The 22767-nt window shown below is 38.9% G+C and overlaps 1 protein-coding gene and 1 long non-coding RNA gene across 13 annotated transcripts in view, besides 4 other annotated features; one reads left to right on the top strand and one right to left on the bottom strand.

Moving 5' to 3' along the window:
- Positions 1-6813, bottom strand: part of MARCHF6 (membrane associated ring-CH-type finger 6) — an 86694-nt gene extending 79881 nt beyond the window's left edge. For 8 of the 11 annotated variants that reach the window (XR_925577.3, NM_005885.4, NM_001270660.2 and 5 more), the window contains exon 1: positions 6591-6813. Coding sequence is in view for 7 of the 11 variants with exons in the window: in NM_005885.4 (NP_005876.2) it covers positions 6591-6609 (19 nt within the window). In the remaining 4 variants the exon portion in view is untranslated. Of the gene's footprint in view, positions 1-5465 lie in introns of all 11 variants that reach the window. The other 3 variants (XM_011513932.3, XM_047416611.1, XM_047416613.1) reach the window with 1 other exon arrangement.
- Positions 5577-6148: an enhancer, noted in NCBI's record as "H3K27ac hESC enhancer chr5:10354472-10355043 (GRCh37/hg19 assembly coordinates)". NCBI's record gives its function as "activates a minimal SCP1, AML or CMV promoter by ChIP-STARR-seq in primed H9 embryonic stem cells {active_cell/tissue: H9 hESC(primed)}" and the evidence as "EXISTENCE:reporter gene assay evidence [ECO:0000049][PMID:30033119]".
- Positions 6205-6674: a silencer, noted in NCBI's record as "silent region_15920". NCBI's record gives its function as "represses an Ori minimal core promoter by ATAC-STARR-seq in GM12878 lymphoblastoid cells {active_cell/tissue: GM12878}" and the evidence as "EXISTENCE:reporter gene assay evidence [ECO:0000049][PMID:35858748]".
- On the top strand, positions 6451-17405 carry MARCHF6-DT (MARCHF6 divergent transcript). 2 transcript variants are annotated; one of them, NR_183261.1, is made up of 3 exons: positions 6451-6536; positions 8735-8970; positions 17184-17405. It is a non-coding gene; the product is annotated as an MARCHF6 divergent transcript (long non-coding RNA). The 2 variants fall into 2 exon arrangements; NR_183260.1 differs by lacking the exon at positions 6451-6536 and adding an exon at positions 6902-8411.
- Positions 6715-6854: a silencer, noted in NCBI's record as "silent region_15919". NCBI's record gives its function as "represses an Ori minimal core promoter by ATAC-STARR-seq in GM12878 lymphoblastoid cells {active_cell/tissue: GM12878}" and the evidence as "EXISTENCE:reporter gene assay evidence [ECO:0000049][PMID:35858748]".
- Positions 6995-7254: an enhancer, noted in NCBI's record as "active region_22353". NCBI's record gives its function as "activates an Ori minimal core promoter by ATAC-STARR-seq in GM12878 lymphoblastoid cells {active_cell/tissue: GM12878}" and the evidence as "EXISTENCE:reporter gene assay evidence [ECO:0000049][PMID:35858748]".
- Positions 17406-22767: the final 5362 nt, after the last annotated feature.

Below are 22767 nucleotides of genomic sequence, written 5' to 3'. Positions count from 1 at the left end.
CCATATACAGGAGTCCCCTGAACAAGAGTTAGGGGCACCGACCTCCTGCACAATCAAAAATCCACATACAGCCGGGCGCGGTGGCTCACGCCTATAATCCCAGCACTTTGGGAGGCTGAGGCAGATGGATCACCTGAGGTCAGGAGTTCAAGCCAATATGATGAAACCCCATCTCTACGAAAAATACAAAATTAGCCAGGCATGGTGGTGCATGCCTGTAATCCCAGCTACTCGGGAGGCTGAGGCAGGAGAATCGCTTGAACCTGGGAGGCGGAGGTTGCAATGAGCTGAGATGGTGCCACTGTACTCTAGCCTGGGCAAAAAGAGCAAAACTCTGTCTCAAAAAAAAAAAAAAAAAAAAAACACACACACATACAACTTTTGACTCCCGAAAAACTACTAATGGAAAACTACTAACAGCCTACTGGTGACCAGAAGCCTTCCCATAACATAATACAACATAAACAGTAGATTAATACACATATTGTACTACTTTTTTTTTGAGACGGAGTCTTGCTCTGTTGCCCAGGCTGGAGTGCAGTGGCGCGATCTCGGCTGACTGCAAGCTCCGCCTCCCACGTTCACGCCATTCTCCTGTCTCAGCCTCCCAAGGAGCTGGGATTACAGGCACCCGCCACCACATCCAGCTAATTTTTTCTATTTTTAGTAGAGACAGGGTTTCGCCATGTTGTCCAGGCTGGTCTCGAACTCCTGACCTCAGGTGATCTGCCTGCCACCGCCTCCGAAAGTGCTGGGATTACAGGCGTGAGCCACCGCACCCAGCCTTTGTATTACATTATACTAGGTATTATGAGTACTCAGGAGATTATTTAAAGTACAGATCTGTGAACATCACAGTTTGAACTACATGGGTCCACTTATACGCGGATTTCTTTCTTCAATAAATATATTGGAGAATTTTTTGGAAATTCACAACAATTTAAAAAAAGATGAACTGTGTAGCTTAGAAGGAGCAAAAAAAATAAAATTATGCCATGAATGCATAAACTGTATTATATGTATTGCGTACTGTATTATATGCTGCATTCTTACAATATGTATTGTAATATTATATACTGTATTCTATATTATATACTTTATTTTTACAATAAAGCTAGAGAAAAAAATTAAGAAAATCAGAAGGAAATTACATTTACAGCACTGTACCATATTTATTGATACCTGTCTGTTTACAAGATAAATCATTCTGAAATGGCCAGCAACCACAGCTACAAACCTCAATCTATGGCACATATGAAGCAATTCGACTTTTTCTTCATAATGTCATGCCTTTTTTCAGCTTCCTGGAGCACTTCCAGCATCACTTAGTGGCACCTCATATGGATCCCATCATGTTATTCAAAGTTTAGGGTACTGCACTAAATGCAATGAAAAATACAAGAGAATCCAGAGAGATACTTTTTACCATATACAATTTACTGGAGAGATGAGCTCCAACAACAGCAACACTTGAGCTCACAACAACAGCAACGGAAGGTGGCCACAAAATTATTACAGTAGCACAGTATGCACTACGGTTAATTTCATGCAGTTATGATTTAATACTGTATCTTTAAGTTTCTTTACATCTCTCAACTGTGAATGGTGCCATGTACAGTCTCCATTACATGTTTGTGTGTGTAAGTTTTGATAAATTTTAACATTTCATGACAGATTTGTATATATTTTATGATAGTGAGTAAAAGACTAGTATCTACATATATTTTATGCATTAATGACATAACTTTTTAACTTTCTCACTATTTCTAGACTACACAGTTCATCTGCAAGTTTTTTCAAATTGCTGCAAATCTCCAAAATTTTTTTCAATATATTTATTGAAGAAAAAAATCCATGTGTAAGTGGACCCATGTAGTTCAAAAACCCATGTTGTTCAAGAGTCAACTGTACTTTAAATTATCTCTAGATTACTTAGAATAATTATAACATAAATGTTATGTAGTCATCATACTGTATTGTTTGAGGAATAATGACAAGAAAAAAAGGCTGTACATGTTCAGTACAGAGGTAATCATCTATTTTTTTCCAAGTATTTTCCATCTGACATTGGATGAATCCACAGATGCGAAACCCACAAATACAGAAAGCTGGCTGCATATCAAGACAATTTATGTCTCACGTCAGCTCAAAACCCTCCCATAGCTCCCTATCTCACTATAAAAGTCAATGAAGTCCTACATGCTCTCTCCCCATTGGCTCCATATCTTTCTGACCTCATATTATACTTACTCTTCTCCAACTCTTTTACTCCGTTACAGCTACACTGCTCTCCTGGTGATTTATTGAACACTCTAGGCATGCTCCCATCTTAGACACTTCACATAGGCTATGTTCCCTCTGCCTGGAATGCTCTGCCCAGAGTATCTGCATGGCTAACTCCTTCTCCTTTGCTCCTTCTCAGTGAGGCCTTCCTTTACTGCTATATTTAAAACTGCGACCCCTAGTGAGCCAAGATCGCGCCACTGCACTCCAGCCTGGGTGACAGAGCAAGACTCCGTCTCAAAAAAAAAAAAAAAAAAAGCAACCCATGCCCTCATATCCTGGCACTTCTTATTCCCTCCCAATTCACTGTTCTCCACAGCGTTTATAACCTTCTAGTTATGCCATATAATTTACATGTTTATTTTGTCTTAAGCTAATAACTATAATGTAAGCTCTATGAAAGAAAGGATTTTCTCTATATTGTTCCTTGCCTAGCCCAAATGCATAGAATAGTGCCTGGCTCATAACAGGTCCTCAGTAAACATTTAACGAATAAATGCATGTACACTTGGTCACAAGCATGCCAAAACAGTGAAAGGTAATGCGTGGTAAGAAACATGCAGCAGACATCTCTGGAAACAAAGAAGACTGTGTGGGTCTAGAAAGAGAGGAACTAGCTGTCTGATTCTGACAACTTTCTATCCTTTTAACTCATTTCTTCCAAATTTAAGTTACCTCAAATTTTTGCCATAGTGATATAGAACATGATCAACCATAATACTCTTTAGCTTCACACTTTTCGAATGAATATGTTCCGTAAAGCATAAAGAACAGCTGCTTTGGTATTCTGTAATAAAATTACTAAGACTTTGTATTATGTTGTGCTAATACAAGCAGTAATTTAGCAAAATGGAAAAGAAAAAAAAAAAAACCTCAGCTTTATATCACTGAGCCGAAATGTGGGCATTCTATGACAAAATGTTTAATATTATCTTTGAGAACTGCACATCAACACTTGCAACATCTATTCCAATATTGTACTGCTTTTCCTTTAAAAAAAAAAAAAAAAAAGTATATCCTTGACCAAAGGATAGACTTTTCTCTGAAACTGAGAAATCTCAGTGCATTACAGGATCGGACTCCTAACCCATAAAATGAGGAGGGCAAATGTCTAAGGTCTCCTATAGCTCTGAAGTTTAAAAATGTCAGGATGGATAGCAGTTGACATAACACATCTGCACTCATACAAATAACATATACACAGTAAGAATGATTTATCCATCCCTGTATTATGAGAATGGATTATAAACCTGTTGATTTTACAAAAATTAATTTAATACTGAAGAAACTTTAGAGATCTTTAAAATCTAGCAAACAATTAGTATGAAACAGCCATGTCGGAACTAAGTATTACTACAAATGCATAACATTCTGAGCATCAGACTATCATATATGGTACCATCAGAGGCAAGCAATGTGCTATTTTTAAAAGGAAGGGAAGACTTACTATACGCACGGTTGATGTGTTTGTAACATTCTTAATCTCTTTGCTCAGAATATTAAAATATATTTTTAAAGGACAGAGAACCGGCCAGGAACGGTAGCTCACGCTCGTAATCCCAGCATTTTGGGAGGTTGAGGCGGACAGATCACCTGAGGTCAGGAGTTTGAGACCAGTCTGGCCAACATGGCGAAACCCCATCTCTACTAAAAACACAAAAATTAGCAGAGGGAGGTGGCGCGCTCCTGTAATCCCAGCTACTCAGGAGGCTGAGACAGGAGAATCGCTTGAACCTGGGAGGTGGAGGTTGCAGTGAGCAGAGATCATGCCACTGCACTTCAGCCTGGGCAACAGGGCAAGACTCCATCTCGGAAAATAAAATAAAATAAAATAAAATAAAATAAAATAAAATAAAATAAAATAAAATAAAATAAAATAAATAAAAAACAGAACCACAACAGTATAAGTGTTTTCAAAAGTAGGTGATACTGATTTTTTTTTAATTTAGTTTTATGTTTGGCCATACTTTGAATATCTCCTACCAAAAAATTTCTAAGCAGATTTAAAAAACCTAAGTCGCATTTTTTAAAGAAATAACCTATAATAACTGATTTCACAAATAGAACATTTTTTATTAGTTTTTTGGCATCTTTGCTATATCATTTTTAATCCTCTATAACCCTCCCTTTTCCTTTAAGTGTTATTTCAACTTAAATTTAATTGTAAAAATGTCAGAAGACTTCCAAACTGGAATTTTGCAAAAGCAGGCATGAGAATACGGCACTAAAATTCACTTGCATTTCATGACTAATAATTTCATAAAACAAAATAAAGCAAAATAAAGTTTCCACCAAATTATATAAATGATTCATCCTATAGAGGGAGTGACAAAAATAAATTTCAACATTGGACTTGTAGTATACACTCATAAATAAATAATCTAATTTAAGTGCGACTCTGACAGACATGAGTCTGAATCTTGCCTCTGCCATTTACTACCTGTATTATCCTGGACAAGTTACTTAATCATACTAACCATCAGTTTCCTCATCTGTAAAATGAAAATGCCGACTACCTAACGATGTGAGAGAATTAAATGAAATGTATATAAAGTGTTTAGTAAAGCACATACTACACGTTGAGTCTTCAGCACATGTTATTTTAACAGGCAACAGTGTTCAATAAATAAATGTTATGTATACCTTATCCTGATTATAATTTTACAAGAGAAAAAATATATTTAAGCACTAGAAGTACAGTGAAAATATTTCATGATTCCATACGTGCTTCGAGCGCAATTCCTGAATTACCACAGATTACTGTCACACCATAAAAGTATGCAAGTAGCAATGCCCAGGCCAAAAGAATGAGAATTGAATGTAATACGTCCGTACCTATCCTGTGATAAATACATGCCTTACTAGATTTACTCATTAAAACCTGAATCTAAAAGGATGTGAAACCTATGTAGATGGAAATTTACACGCAAGGACCACCTGTCAAAAAGAAATAGTTCGCAACCTTCAGCAGTTTCGCTTTACTATTTTTTCCAAAGGCGTCTCCAGTGGCGATTAGCTACACTCAGTGTATATAATAAACACACTGTGGCATAATGAAAGGGAAATTACTTGCAATCAGAATGCCTAGGTTCAAATCTGCCTCTTACTACCTGTGTAAAGCTTCGACAAGCTATTAAAATAACGAAGCCTACATTTCCACATCTATAAAAGATAATACCTACCTATTCCACAGGCTTTTTACGAAGATGGAACGCGAATGTACATCAAGTGCCACATGTTATAGTTGAGGTATTTATTAAAGGCAAGACTTCTTTAAAAAAAAATAAGTCGTTATCAACTCATTACATAGATAATATCAAACTTTTTTCACTCATTATTGCACTCCATGACGGCGTTTGATAATTCATTTTCGTTTAAAATCGCCAAAATCGCAACCCATAAGGTTGAAAGACGCTCATACCCCCATAAATATACCTAAAGTAGAAAAGCATTTGCACGATAACCGGAACATCAAAAAAAGCAAAATTTAGTAATTTCCTCTATAAACTCACCACTCATTTAAAAACACAGCTGGTTAAAAATAATCTACTACCTTCAGTGGGTAAGAAAATGCGTTTGAAGAGACATAAGGTGTGGACGTTTATATCTTAAGTATTCATTTTACAAGGGTCAGTTTGTTCAATGTAACCGTATCCAAAACACAAGCAATCGCAAAACAAAACAAACAGAACCCTGCTTATAGGTGTCAAGGATTTAAAACCAAATGGATCGCAACAAAAGAGCCTCCCCGTTTAGTAAACAGATTCTCGAGCGGCAGGCAAGCCGAGGACCAGGCTTTTCAACAGGGGTCAGCTCACTCCACTCGGCCGTCATCTGGCGGGGTATTTTTCGCGAAGTTTCAAAGTCAACAAAGAAGTTCTGTCGCGAGGGGGTAGGGCCTGGCGAGCAATAGGCAGAAGGACGTAAAGAAAGACAAAACCCAGTGGGGGAAGGGTGCGGAAAACGCCCCCGGACGGCAGCGACAGAGGCCCCCTTTTCTGGGCCAGCGCGCGACGGCGGGGACAAGGGAGGCCACGCCGGCCTGCAGTAGCCCCGAGGCCCCGACCCCGGCCCCGGCCCCTGCCCGGCAGGGTCCCCGCCCCCCTCGGCGGCGCGGGCGGGAAACGGCGGGGGGCGCGCAGAGGGTCACCTTCCGCTCCCCGGCCCAGAGGCCCAGCGGGTGGACAAACGGCCCAGGCGTCCGCCCCGCCGCGATCCAGCAGCCCACCTCGAGCGCCGCGGACCTGGCCGGGGTACGAACCCGGGCGCCGACGCAAGGGCTCGGGCGCCGCGCGTCGCCGACTTACCTTCCTCCGCGGTGTCCATCTTGTCTGGGGGGGCGGCGGTGACGCAGCCACGAGGCTCCCGCGGCCGGGCGGGGAAAGAGGGAGGGGAGAGGAGGAGGGAGCCGGGCCCGGGCAGGTGCGTACGCTCAGGTGCGAGAGAGGAAGCGAGAGGAAGGAGAGGGGAGAGGGAGAGGGAGAGAGGCTGACAGAAAGCGAGCGACACGGGAGGGGGAGGGGCGGGAACACCTAGGGGCGAGGCCTGGGCGGGGCGCCGAGGCGGAAGGGGCGGGAGCTCCCCAACGACAGGCGCTGTCACTTCCGGCGGCCGCGGCGTGCACTGTCGGTCGGCGGCTAAGGAGGGGAGGCACCTGCATCTGGGGCGCGGCGAATCCTCGCGTGCGCCAGGCCGCCTGGGGTAGTCGCCGAGACTGCGCCGGCCAGCGGGGCCGAAACCTAATCAGGAGCTGAGCTTTGATGGCGGCTTCTGGAGGGACAAAGAAGGCGCAGAGCGGTGGGAGGAGGCTGCGAGAACCTAGCTCCCGCCCCAGCCGACGTGCGAGACAAAGGCCCCGGCGCGGGGCTCTTCGGAAGGCCGGGAGGTTCCTGTGACAATGCGAGTCTGCGCCCCACGCTCCCGCACCGTGATGCCGAGGCCAAATGGCTAGAGTGGGCCCAGGCATCAGCATTTCTGTTTGGCAGCCGGGCAGTTGTGGTGCACGTTTTGAGGAACTACTAAAGCCTGCCTGTGATGAAAAAGGCAAAAGCTGACTTCACCAAAATTACTCCCAGGGAGACTTCTGCATTTGGCTGGAAGGACATTTGAGTAAACCGCTGAGGCTGGTGGTTGAAACATAATCCTCTAAGGGAGATCGGTTCCGATACCCTGAGTTAGGGACGCTTGCCTGGGCAGAGCTAAGGGGAGAATGATCAAAAGCCAAGCTCTGTCCCCGTCAGCACGTCACCCTCCCTCACTGTAATCCCTGACTGTTTTCTCTAAATGAAGAATTATTTAGAGAATATAAATTAGAAGGGCCGCCACGTCAGAATTGCCTGAGTGGGAGCAGTCTTTCCAGCCTCGAAAAATGTTTAAACAATATGCAGATGACCTAGCACAAATAAAGAATGCTAGCAACCGCTGTTATGTGTGAGCGGTGGAATTGGGAGGGCTCTTCCCCCAATCTTCATCAAACAGAGTAAGGTTTAGAATAAAAATAATGAAATACAGTCTTTCAAAAAGAGCAGCGCTTGACTAATGTTACTGATGTCACTCATGTTACTCAAGGGAGGAAAGAACTCAAACTCTACATAATAATACCCACTGATTTCAAGGGCTGGCACGGAGAATTAAGCAGACCGCCATTCTTTATATTTGTTTTTTTGTTGTTGTTTGCTTATGATTTTTTTCTTTCTTTTTTTTTTTTTTTTTTTGAGAAGGGGTCTCGCACTGTCACCCAGGCAGGAATGCAGTGGCGCGATAATGGCTCACTGCAATCTCACTATATTGACCAGTATGATTTTCAACTCCTGTCTTTAAGCGATCCTCACGCTTCGGCCTCCCAAAGTGCTGGGGTTACAGACATGTGCCACTATGCCCTGCCTAAATATGTTTATATATACTACCGCCAAAGAAACAATTTGAAGACGATCTTTCCCCAGCCCCTCTCCTTCTGATCCAACTCCAAGAGCTCACCCTCCCTGTAAGACCTGTAGCAGAGCACGTATTGGCCTGCTGATACTAGGGGCAAAGACCGGGCCGATCAGATGTTACATGGCATAAGGGCGAAGGATTCTGAAAGAAAGACTGAGACTTGCTGGAGGAAGTACTAGTAGTGCCAAGGGCAGGTATGTGACCCTCGGAGCTGCAGAGCCAGGTTAGGATGAAGGGAATGTGTGTGTATGGGGGGCGTGGAGGAAGCCTTCCTTTTGTATTTAGGTGCCTTCCCTTGTGATGTTCAAAGGAAAGTTAACCTGTCAACCAGTTTTCCCTTCTGCATAGTAATTCCTTCTGGAATTGCCCTAACCTTTTCGCATTCAGACTTTAGGCGTTAAATATAAGAGTAATAAACCAACATTTGTTGAGTCCCCACTGTGAGTCAGGCACAAGTTCTCACAACAGCCCTTTGAATACATGAATCAGTCACACCTCTCTTGGTTGCCATTGACAGGAACTCAACTGTTAGGCAGAAGGGAGGAATGTACTGTTGATATGGACAGACTCCAAGAAGGGGAGGGACTGCTGGGACTACTAGAACGAGAATGCCTCTGCCCCTATGGCTCAGCTCTGCAACTCTCTCTGCACATTGGCTTCATGCTGTTAGACCAGCTTCCTCCATATGTCTGGAAACAAGGCCACTGACAGCTCCCAACATTTCATCTTCTGCCTCATCATCAGACAGGCGAGGTAAGGATGATGATCTCTAGTCCCAAGTTAAAAATTCTCAGGGAAGGCTAGTTCATTGGTCCAGCTAGTTGCCTGTCCGTGAATCAAATGATTGTGCCAAAGATCTAGGATCTTTAAGAACATGGACATTGTCATGTTCTTGTAACTGCCATTTCAGGTAAGAACAATGTACACTACCTTGTGGAAGTAGAGAAAGACCGTTTCCCACAAGAAGGGGGAGGACCAAACAATAGATATCCATTACAATTAGAATTCTCATTGTCCAATCAAGAAAAATACTTTTTTTTTTTTTGAAACATTGTTACCGAGGCTGGAGTGCAGTGGCATGATCTTGGCTCATTGCAACAGTCCACCACCCTGGCTTAAGTGATCCTCCCACCTCAGCTTCCCGAGTATCAAGTAGCTGGGACTACAGGCATATGACGCCCAGCTAATTTTTGTGGTTTGTTTTTTTGTTTGTTTGTTTTTGGTATAGATGGGGTTTCACCATGTTGCCCAGGCTGGTCTTGAACTCCTGGGCTCAAGCAATCCGCCCACCATGGCCGCCCAAAGTGCTGGGATTGCAGGTGTGAGCCACTGTGCCTGGCCAAGAAAGATCCTTTATTAAAGACATAGTATACCCATGATTCCAGCCTCGTGTGTGTGTGTGTGTGTGTGTGTGTGTGTGTGTGTACTGTGCTGCGAGAATGCTATAGCAATGCTGGCTTTCCATACCCCAATAAGCAATGAGTAAGAGGGGAAGTGTAGGGGGACACAGTGTAACTGTAACAAACTAACAATGACAACTAACCAAACTCCTTATTATGTCCAATGAACATCCATAGCAATCCTGTGAAGTAAATATTACACACTTTTTTTTTTTTTTGAGACAGAGTCTTGCTGTGTTGCCCAGGCTGGAGTGCAGTGGCGTGATCTCAGCTCATTGCAACCTCTGCCTCCTGGGTTCTAGCAATTCTCTGCCTCAGCCTCCTGAGTAGCTGGGATTACAGGTGCCCACCACCATGCTTGGCTAATTTTTGTATTTTTAGTAGAGATGGGGTTTCACTATCTTGGCCAGGCTGGTCTTGAACTCCTAACCTCGTGATCCACCCGCCTCGGCCTCCCAAAGTGCTGGGATTACAGGCATGAGCCACTGCACCCAGTCCAATTTTTTAAAAAATATATTCTTGGGACAGTTGAAATTGAAAAATTGAAACTTATATAGATTCTGTGAACGGTCTTGTAGCGATGTTAACTTCTTGATTTGGAAGATCCTTGTTTGGGGAAATACCCACTATAGCATTTAGGGGTAACGTGGACTCAGGTCTGAAGCTTGTTCCCAAATGGTTCAGAAAAAGACTAATTGTGTGTGGGGTCAGGGCAGAGTTAACATTGGCGAATCTGGGTGACGACAATGTGGAGATTGTCTTGCACTCTACTTGGAACTTTTCTGTGAGTTTGAAATCATTCTAAAATCATTTTTTAATTAAAATTACTAGGTACTGATAGAACTCTAAAGCAATAGTTATCAAATTTGAGGGTGTCTCTATCACTGGCACCTTTAACAATCTGATAACATCTATGGATTTTGTTCCCAGAAAAAATTGGTTAAACACAAAACATTGCATGAAATTTCAGGGGGGTATATAGATGCCTTGAACTCCATGCATGAATCCTAGGTTAAAAGAACCTCTCATTTAAAGTACTGAGAAAAGTGGTGATGTTCGCTTCCCTTTCTAAGACTATGGCAGACTGGGTTTTTTAGACCAACAATTGGAAATTCTATATAAAATATAGAAAACAGATTCCTAAAAGCACTGAACGCCTGACAAAAATAGTAAGGTAACTACCAGGCCAAAAATTTTTTTTTTTTTTTTTTTGAGACAGAGTCTCCCTCACTCTGCTGCCAAGGCTGGAGTGGTGTGATCTCTGCTCACTGCAACTTCTGCCTTCTGGGTTCAAGCAATTCTCCCGCCTCAGCCTCCTGAGTGGCTGGGATTACAGGCATGTGCCACCACTCCTGACTAATCTTTGAATTTTTGTGGAGACAGGGTTTCACCATGTTGGCCAAGCTGGTCTCAAACTCCTGACCTCCAGTGATCCGTCCGCCTCAGCCTCCCAAAGTGCTGGATTACAGGCATGAGCCACCATGCCTGGCCTACCAGGCCAAAATCTAAGGACAAGAGAGAATACCAAAAAGTAAATGGAACATGAAGGCTGCTTTTGTTTTGCTGAACCAGGCAAACTTGAACTTCTATTTGACAGTTTCTAGCAGCAAAAAGGACGACTGTCAAAGCCCAGAGCCTGCCCAAGGGAAGGCATCTGTTAAGAGACCTTCCACCAGGAGCCTCGCCCAAGACCCACACAGCTGCTCTCTCAGGGGAATGGTGAACCAAGTAAATCTGACTTCTCCTGGAGACTTTTAGGAAACTTATCTGAGCCTTATTTTTTAAAAGTTCCAGAAAAGTTATGGCCATGAATCAGCCCTGGCATAGACTGTACCCCAAATTCATACCCTAGTGATCCAATAATCTTAAGCAGTGAGTTTAGTTTGATGTAATCTTGGACTGCTGGGACCCCCTAAGCACCTGGCAAAAGCAAACACAAATTCTCTGTGGAAGAATATACCTGTGTGCTACTCATTGTCCCTAGAAATTTATTTGTGGAGATTCTTTGACAGATAGATGTGTGTGTGTGTGTGTGTGTGTGTGTGTGTGACAACACACACGTAGCACAAGAACTAACACACAACAGGTAGCAGAAACCATCCACAAAGACCTCAGGTATGGAAGTTAGCAAACACAGATTATAAAGCTACTACACTATGACTATTTAAAAAAGAGTAATGAAACAATTTTATTTTAAAATCTCAATTTTTAAACTGGAATTACATCTTTTGCCACCATTTAAACATAAAATATAAAATTGTATTCATCAAGAAATGAGGATATGCAATGCATAATTTTTAGGTTACATGCAAGCAAAATCTTCAGAGAACCCTGCACTTTTCCATGGGCAAGGGCACGGCTGTCCTTAGGCATGTGAGAGTCTGCGGCCTGTGGCTTCCCAATGGCAGAGGCCTCATTTCATGTACTGATGTATCCCTAAGGCCAACACAGGGCTTGACACATAGTAGGGTGTCACTAAATTTTGGCTGAATGAGTAATGTATGATTTTCCAGGAGATACTTTATGTCACTGAAATAGCAACATGTGTGTGAATGCTTTTCTTAGGAAAAGACAAATTCATACCATAGCTGAAAAATCAATCCAGTAACAAACATACATTAGGGTTAGTGTGTCTATGCTCTTACATCGGGATTTCTTGGTTATAATGAATTCATTTTCAGTACTTCATGCAGATATGCTCAACAGTGATATACACCGAGTTAAATCAAATAATCAAAATAGAGCACCATGTATTTCTTATACAATATTCACATAAAAATTACTTACAATTTAACCCAGATTGTCACTAAAATGAAGGCCTTGAAGACCAGTTGTTCTTTTCTCCAAACTTTTGTTATAAACATTTTGAAATATTCAGAAAAGTTAAAGGATTCATATAATGAACACCTGCATGCCCAACCTAGATTCAACAATTGTTAATATTTAGCCATATTTATTTTAATGATATCATTCCTTTCTGTATCATTTGGAAATATATATATTATATATTTGATATTATATTTTTATATATTGTATATTATGTATAATATATATAACATATTTTATATTTTGTTATATATAATTATATATTTTATGTTATATATAATTATATATTTTATGTTATATATAATTATACATATTATATATTTTATGTTATATATAATTATACATATTATATATTATGTATGATTATATATAATTATTAAATATAATACATAATATGTATAATTATATATAATTATTATATATTATATATAATATATTATGTATAATTATATATATTATACATTATATTATGTATAATATATATAATTATTATATATAATATATAATATGTATGATTACATATAATATATTATGTATATTATATATAATTATTATATATAATATATAATATATTATGTATGATTACATATATTATGTATAATTATATCTAATATATACTATATTATACATAATATATATTTATGGTATATATCATACATATATATATTTATGGTATATATCATACATAATATATATGTATGGTATATATCATACATAATATATATGTATGATATATATCATACATAATATATATTTATGATATATATCATACATAATATATATTTATGATATGTATCATACATAATATATATTTATATGTATCATACATAATATATATTTATGATATGTATCATACATAATATATATTTATGATATGTATCATACATAATATTTATGATATGTATCATACATAATATTTATGATATGTATCATACATAATATTTATGATATGTATCATACATAATATTTATGATATGTATCATACATAATATTTATGATATGTATCATACATAATATTTATGATATGTATCATACATAATATTTATGATATGTATCATACATAATATTTATGATATGTATCATACATAATATTTATGATATGTATCATACATAATATTTATGATATGTATCATACATAATATTTATGATATGTATCATACATAATATTTATGATATGTATTATACATATTTATGATATGTATTATACATAATGTATGTTTATGATATATATTATACATAATGTATGTTTATGATATATATTATACATAAGATACATGTTTATGATATATATTATACATAAGATACATGTTTATGATATATATTATACATAATATACATTATATATTATACATAATATACATTACATATATTATACATAATATACATTACATATATTTTATATATTATACATAACATTTTATATATTATACATAACATTTTATATATTATATATAACATATTTTATATATTATACATAATATATATTATACATAATATATTTTATATATTATGTATAATATATATTATACATAATATTATATATTATACATAATATATATTATGCATAATATTATATATTATACATAATATATATTATGCATAATATATATATTATACATAATATATATATTATACATATTATATATATTATACATAATATATATATTATACATAATATAATATATAAAATACATAATATTATATATATTATACATAATATATATATTATACATAATATAATATATAAAATACATAATATTATATATATTATACATAATATAATATATATATTATACATAATATAATATATATTATACATAATGTAACATATATATTATACATAATGTAATATATATATTATACATAATGTAATATATATATTATACATAATATATATACTATATGTTATACATAATATATATACTATATGTTATACATAATATATATACTATATGTTATACATAATATATGTTATATATGTTATACATAATATATGTTATATATGTTATACATAATATATGTTATATATGTTATACATAATATATGTTATATATGTTATACATAATATATGTTATATATGTTATACATAATATATGTTATATATGTTATACATAATATATGTTATATATATTAATTATATATGTTATACATAATATATGTTATATATATTAATTATATGTTATACATAATATATGTTATATATATTAATTATATATGTTATACATAATATGTTATATATATTAATTATATATGTTATACATAATATATGTTATATATATTAATTATATATGTTATACATAATATATATCAATTATATATGTTATACATAATATATATCAATTATATATGTTATACATAATATATATCAATTATATATGTTATACATAATATATATTAATTATATATGTTATACATAATATATATTAATTATATATGTTATACATAATATATATTAATTATATATGTTATACATAATATATATTAATTATATATGTTATACATAATATATATTAATTATATATGTTATACATAATATATATTTATTATATATGTTATACATAATATATATTTATTATATATGTTATACATAATATATATTTATTATATATGTTATACATAATATATATTTATTATATGTTATACATAATATATATTTATTATATGTTATACATAATATATATTTATTATATATGTTATACATAATATATATTTATTATATATGTTATACATAATATATATTTATTATATATGTTATACATAATATATATTTATTATATATGTTATACATAATATATATTTATTATATATGTTATACATAATATATATTTATTATATATGTTATACATAATATATATTTATTATATATGTTATACATAATATATATTTATTATATATGTTATACATAATATATATTTATTATATATGTTATACATAATATATATTTATTATATATAATATATGGAAATATATACCATATATTATATATAATATATTATATATGTTATATGTTATATATAATATATTATATATGTTATATGTTATATATAATATATTATATATGTTATATGTTATATATAATATATTATATATGTTATATGTTATATATAATATATTATATATGTTATATGTTTTATATATATATTATATATGTTATATGTTATATATATAACATATATTATATATTTCCAATGATACAGAAAGGAACTATATATATTATATATAATATACGTATATTATATATACAGTTCCAAAAATATGTATATACATATAGTTTTGTTTTGTTTTTAGACAGTTTCACTCTGTCACCCAGGCTGGAGTGCAATGGTGCGATCTCAGCCCACTGTCACCTCCGCCTCCTGGGCTCAAGTACTTCTGGTGCCTCAGTCTCCCAAGTAGCTGGGATTACAGATGTGCACCACCACACCCAGCTAATGTTTGTACTTTTAGTAGAGATGGGGTTTCACCATGTTAGCTAGGCTGATCTCAAACTTTTCAGGTCAAGTGATCCTCCTACCTTGGCCTCCCAAAGTGCTGGGATTACAGGCACAAGCCACCGAGCCTCGCCAAAGTATATATATTTGAACATCTTTGCCCCTAAATACTTTAGCATGTATCTCCTAAGGTTAGAATAATCTCCTTGAAAATGATTTCCACACCATAATAATATATAGACTCTAAAGTTTCTCTAATTGTCCCAAACATGACCTTTATAATTTTGTTTGTTTAACAAGGGTCCAATCTGGTTTCCCTTATTGCCACTGGTTTGGTCTCGATAGTCCATCTCCTTTAGTCTAGAATGGTCCTAGTACTTTTTGTTTTCCAATGACAATGCCTTTTGGAAGACCATAGAACAATTGTTTCATGCAATGAATGTCCTTCATTATAGATTTATCTGACTGATTCCTCTTGGTGTCATTAGCTTGTTCCTTTAGCCCCTGTATTTCCTATAAACTAGCAGGTAGGCTTAGAGGCTTAATCTGATTCAAGTTAAACATGTTTTTGCAAGAATATTTGATAGATGATTATGCATTTTTCTTTTCTCTTTTTTTTTTTTTTTTTTTTTTGAGATGGAGTCTCGCTCTGTTGCCTAGGCTGGAGTGCACTGGTGTGATCTTGGCTCACTGCAACCTCCACCTCCCAGGTTCAGGCTATTCTCCTGCCTCACCCTCCCGAGCAGCTGGGATTATGGGCACACACTACCACACCCAGCTAATTTTTGTAATTTTGTATTTTTAGTATTTTAGTAGAGACAGGGGTTTCACCATGTTGGCCAGGCTGGTCTTGAACTCCAGACCTCAAGTGATTCGCCCACCTTGGCCACCCAGAGTGCTGGGATTACAGGCGTGAGCCACCTCGCCTGGCCGGTTATGTGTTTTTCATATTACAGTACATCTGGAGGCCAGAAAGTCAGGTTGTGCCATGATTCACATTCTGAGTTTGAGTACTTGGTTAAAGTGGTGGCTGCCAAGTCTCACCATTTATTGAGTATTCTATGGAGTAAGTCCTCAGATCCTTTCCTTCTTATCTTAGTCATTAAGCAGGACAGCCAAATTTTAAAATTATTCTGAAATTTGAAAGTTCATGCTATTAAAAACATTCTTGTTATTTATAAAGATAAGTTTATTTTACAAAACCTTCTAAGCTCTTTATCACAAAATTCTCCCATAATTTTTCCAGTAAGATAAAACCTCCTTTTTATGTCTGTGTCAATCTCCAATTCTTTTCTTTTTTTTTTCTTAGTGCAGTGGCATAATCTCGGCTCACTGCAACCTTTGCCTCCTGGGTTCAAGCAAAAACTGGAATGATGCAGCTTCAGGCCAAGGAATGCTGGCAGCCACCAGAAGCTGAAGGACACAAGGAATGGATTCTCAGAGCCTCGGCAGGAAATGTGGCCCTGCCAACACCTTGATTTCAGACTTCTCAACTCCAGTACTGGGAGGGAATAAATTTCTGTTGTTTTAAGCCTCCCAGTTTGTGATAATTTGCTACAGCAGCCACAGGAAGCAAATAAGGAGGGCCTATTTGGAGGAGGATGCAAACCCAGCAGTGGGTGATGAACTATTCTTACTTACAGCTACCTTATTCATTACTAGTCTAGACTTAAGCATTGACTTCATCACTGAAAAGGCTGCAGCTGAGCCTAGAGTTTCAGGTTCCTGTGCTGCATATGGCTACAGTGATTCTTAGGTCAGCTCCCTAGGATGCAGTTGAGTCTCTCTCTAACTGATGAGTCTCTTTAAATATACAGTTGGGGCTGGGTGCGGTGGCTCACACCTCTAATCCTAGCACTTTTGGAGGTTGAGGAGGGAGGATCACTGGAACCCAGGAGTTCAAGACCAGCCTTGCCAACATAGTGAAACCCATCTCTACTAAAAAAATACAAAAATTAGCCGGGCATGGTGGCGCACACCTGTAATCCCAGCTACTCGAGAGGCTGAGGTGGGAGAATCACTTGAACCTGAGAGGCAGAGGCTGCAGTGAGCCAACATCGTGCCACTACACTCCAGCCTGGGCAACAGAGTGAGACTCTGTCTCAAAACTATGTAAATAAATAAATAAATCTACAGCGGGCCCTCCCTGTTCTTGGGTTCTGCATCCATGGATTCAACCAATTGTGGATCAAGAATAGGTTCATCTGTACTAAACATGTATAGACTTTTCTTCTTGTCTGTATTCCCTAAATGAAATAGTATGACAAGCCAAGCATGGTGGCTCACACCTGTAATCACAGCACTTTGGGAGGCTGAGGCAGGAGGATTGCTTGAGCCCGGGAGTTTGAGACCAGCCTAAGCAACATAGACCCCATCTCTACCAAAAAAATTTTTTTAGCCAGGCATGGTGGCGTGTGCCTGTAGTCTTGGCTACTCAGGAGGCTGAAGTGGGAGGTTCACTTGAGCCCAGGAGGTCGAGGTTGCAGTGAGCTGTGATCGCGCCACAGCCCTCCAGCCGGGACGACAGAGTGAGACCCTGTCTCAAACAAACAAACGTAGATATATAGTACGCCAACTTACATAACATTTACATTGTATTAGGCATTATAAGTAATCTAGACATGATTTAAAGGAGGATATGTATAGGTTACATGCAAATTCTATACCATTTTATATAAGGAACTTGATCACCCATGGATTTTGGGTGCAGGGTCTGGAAACCAATCCCCCACAGATATTGTGGAGAGATCATACATTTTCATCTGATATTTTGACTTCTAACCTGAAATTGTATATTTGCTCCAAAGTGAAACTCTTCCTAAGAGTTTTTATCTTAGACACATGGAATCCAAAGAACCTTGAGGAATTATCTGGTATATCTCACTCCATTATTCATGGAAACCATTGAGCTCTGACGCTGAATATCTCTTGTTAGCTTCTCGTGTGTCTTTATTGTTTTATGGACTGAATGTTTATGTCCCCCCAAAATTCATATGTTAAAATCTTAATCCCCAATGTGCTGGTACTAGGAGGTGAGGCCTTTGGGAGATAATTGGGTTTAGATGAGGTCGTGAAGACAAGGTCCCCATGATGGGATTAGTGAGTGTTCTTATAGGATTTAGGCCACTCAGTCTATGATATTCTGAAATAGCAGCCTGAACTGAAACAAGACAATTATCATCAAACATCATTTGAGTATATTATTCTGTATAATACACTATGAAAGATCCCCAAAACAAGCAGATTAGGCAAGTCTAAGGCCTGATTTCTGTCCTCAAAGAAGGCGAAGGCTACAGTTAGATTAAGAACTACTGCCTAGCTTTACTGGGAGAGAATCATTTTTACAACATCAGTTGGAGAAGCCACATAATGATCACCATTATGACTGCTTAGATGTAACTTCGGGATCTAACTAGAATTTCTAGATCCCTTAGGCTTAAGTCTTCTATTTGACCACAAACGTTGAATGCATGTGCATGTTATGTTTGTCTGTTAAGTTCTCCTTCCTTCTTCTCCTGGCAATAATATCTTCCTTTCTTTTAGAGAACTGCGCCTCCCTCACTCAAAACACAGAGTTCTAGGGGAAATCGGCCAGTCAGGGGAGGGCGGATAGCCGAGGCAGGACTACATGTACCCTCCCCTGGTACCCACAGGTGCTGTGTTTCTACTGCTGGCCCTTCCATCCACTTCCCTCCCCGACTCTGAGTCCAGGCTTCTGACATTTAGTTCATGGCTGCACCAACAGAGACTGACATTGATTCTAAAAATATTTTTAATTGAAATTGTAACCGGTTATTCAGAAGCTCGAAAATAATTACAGTATCTAGCATGGACGGAGCACTTGCTGAATGCAAGCACCATCCAACCAAGGAGGCCAGGGCGGAGGCGGAGAACACTCAGGTGCAGAGTTGCCCAGGCCTCACACCTCCTGAGTGGCTGCAGTTGAGAAATGGCCCCAGGGCCTGTGTCACAAAAGCATGTGGGGCTCCTTGGAGATTTCTGAGTTCAGCCAGATATTTAACCTCACTTACCTCCCTTGCCTAGAGTTTCAAACTCCTGTGCTGCGTGTGGTTACAATGGGTATCAGGTCAGCTCCCTAAGGCCCAGATGAGTAGCTCTCTAACAGATAAGTCTCTTTAAATATATAGTTGTGCCTCTGTACTCATGGGTTCTGCATCCACGACTTCAACCAACTGTGGATCAAGGACTGGTTCATCTGTACTAAACATGTATAGACCTTTCTTCTTGTCTGTATTCCCCAAACAGAAAAGGGCATTGTTATGCCTTCCTTCCTGTGAGGCTTCATGTCCTGCTTCTCCTGGGGTAGCCCTCACAGCTGTGTCCCTACACTGCAAAGGGCCCCATCTCCTCATTGATAGATGGTAGGGACCTCTTTCTTGACCTGCCCAACTGCTGCATAGAGAGACAGAATATACAGACAGCAGCCAGCCCATAGATGACAGCAGAAGTGTGACCCACAATCTGCAGCAGCCAGTCCAGGAAGCCAAACCACAACGTCCACAGCAATCTGCCCAGAACAGTCAGGACATCATCAATAACCACTGGCTTCCCTACTTTTTCCTGCTGCTTCCAACTTAGGACCAGAGAAAGCCCAACATGCTCCCCTAACCAGTCGCATTGGATGCCTCGCTTCTGGTGAGCCACCTGAGGCTTCCCCAGGCCAGCAGCCTTCACTCAGGGCACACCTGGAGCCTCTCCTCCTCCACTATGAAGCTTTCCACTCCTCTGCCTGCCTTCAAGTCTCTGCCAAGCACTAGGAATGGCAGCCGCCTCCTTTTCTACAGCAAGCCCTGAATAGCCTTTGCTTGTTCTCATTGGGTGGTCTTTGTTTATCTCCACATCGTTTTCGTTTTAACCAGTCCTTAGGTCTTTCTTTTGGCATCCTGCCCACCCCTGCCTTCAGACAGCCTTCACCACTCTCTCTGAGGCCTGTGCGCCAGCCTCAAATCTGTGCAACTTTGGCAGGAATGGCCCTGCTTAGCGAGTCTCGGCCTTTCCCTGCAGTGACTTCTTTGTCTCCTCATCAGGCCACTCAATTCTATGGCAGGGGAGATCTCCAATCACTGCCGAGACACCCACAGAACCTGATTTTAGCCCCGGTGCTGGGGAAGTGGTTGCCATAGCGATGGATGCAGCAGGCAGACATAGGAAGGGCTCACTGCAGCCAGCCCACGCCAGGAGGGGCCAGGCCTTCTGTTTGGTCTGTGCTGCTCGCTGCCCCCCCAACCCCCAGCCCCCACCTCCAACAGCAAAATGGGGGCTGGGAGCAGGAATCATCCATGGCCATCACGCTGGGATCCTTGTCTTAGCACACCCACCCCTCCCCACCATGCTGGCTGTTAATGGTGTCACTTAGTTGTGCAGCTTAGACTGCGTTGCTTAGCAATGAAATAACCAACAGCGTAAATCGTGTCTCCATTGAATCTCCGTGAATGCCTCACTTAGATGACCGTGATTTCAGTGCTCTGTGCCAAGGTGGGGGTGGGGCGATCCGAACCTTTTTAAATGGAGGATTTACACATACAGAAAAATATGCACAAAGCGTAAGTGCTCATCTTAATAAACTGAAACCAACATCCAGATCAAGATATAGAACATTTCCAGGACCCACCAACTTCCCTCCTGCCCTTCCCAGCTAATATCCACTCCCCTGTGGACATGGATATGACCTTCATCACCATCTGTTTGGTTTGCCTGTATGTGAGCTTCACATGAATAGAATCCTATGGTAAGGACCTTTTGTGTCCAGCTTACTTCACTCATCACTGTGTTGATGAGATGCTCCCGTGTTGGGTGTGCAGTCGGAGGATGGGGGTGGTGCTGCTGAGCATGCTTTCCTCCACCCCCAGCAACAGGACTGGTCTCCTGGCTTTTCCACCTCACCTTCTGTACTGGTCAGAGTTCTCTTAGAGGGACAGAACTAATAGGAAATACATATATATATTTTTTATATATATGTAAAGGGGAGTTTATTAAGTAATAACTTACACGATCACAAGGTCCCACAGTAGGCTGTCTGCAAGCTGAGGAACAAGGAGAGTCAGTCCGAGTCCCAAAACTGAAGAACTTGGAGTCTGATGTTTGAGGGCAGGAAGTGTCCAGCAGGGGAGAAAGATGTAGGCTGGGAGGCTAGGCCGGTCTCACCTCTTCACGTTTTTCTGCCTGCTTTATATTCGCTGGCGGCTGATTAGATGTTGCCTACCCCATTAAAGGTGGGTCTACCTTTCCCAGTTCACTGACTCAAATGTTAATCTCCTTGGGCAACACCTTCACAGACACACCCAGGATCAATATTGCATCCTTCAATCCAATCAAGTTGACACTCAGTATTAACCATCACACCTTCCCGTTGAAACTCCTTGGATGGATGCCCATCTGAACCAAACCCAGCTCACCATGCCTCCTTGGATCCTGGCCCATCTCTGTAAGTGGATGGGGCATCTGATCCAACGTTCCTCACCTCTCTCTGCCCCACCAGTCAGTGTGGCTGGGACGCTGCATCCTTTGTTCCTGAGCCTGCCTCATTAGGACATCCCAGAGCCCTGGCTGCCCACACAGCTCACTGCATCTCGATGTTAAGGCCTTAGAATTGTTTCCTCTAGAGCATGCCCCATTCCAGTTGGTTGATCCTCTTCTAATTTTTTAAACTGCTTACTTTTAAGCTTATAGAAAAGTTGGAATAATAGTACAAATTCCCATATACATTTCCCACATTCCCCAAATGTTAACATTTTGCCACATTTGCTTTACCCTTCTCTTTCTCTCTGCCCATACAGGTATAACTTGTATATATTACTTTTTCTAACCATTTAGGGGATTGTAGACATGATGCCTTGTTGTCCCTAAATACCTCAATGTATATTTCTTTTTTT

Source organism: Homo sapiens, chromosome 5 (genome assembly GCF_000001405.40).
Source record: "Homo sapiens chromosome 5, GRCh38.p14 Primary Assembly".
In the NCBI taxonomy this organism is placed as follows: Eukaryota; Metazoa; Chordata; class Mammalia; order Primates; family Hominidae; genus Homo; species Homo sapiens.
The sequence above is the reverse complement of the archived record's forward strand: the minus strand, read 5'-3'. Positions and strand labels throughout refer to the sequence as shown.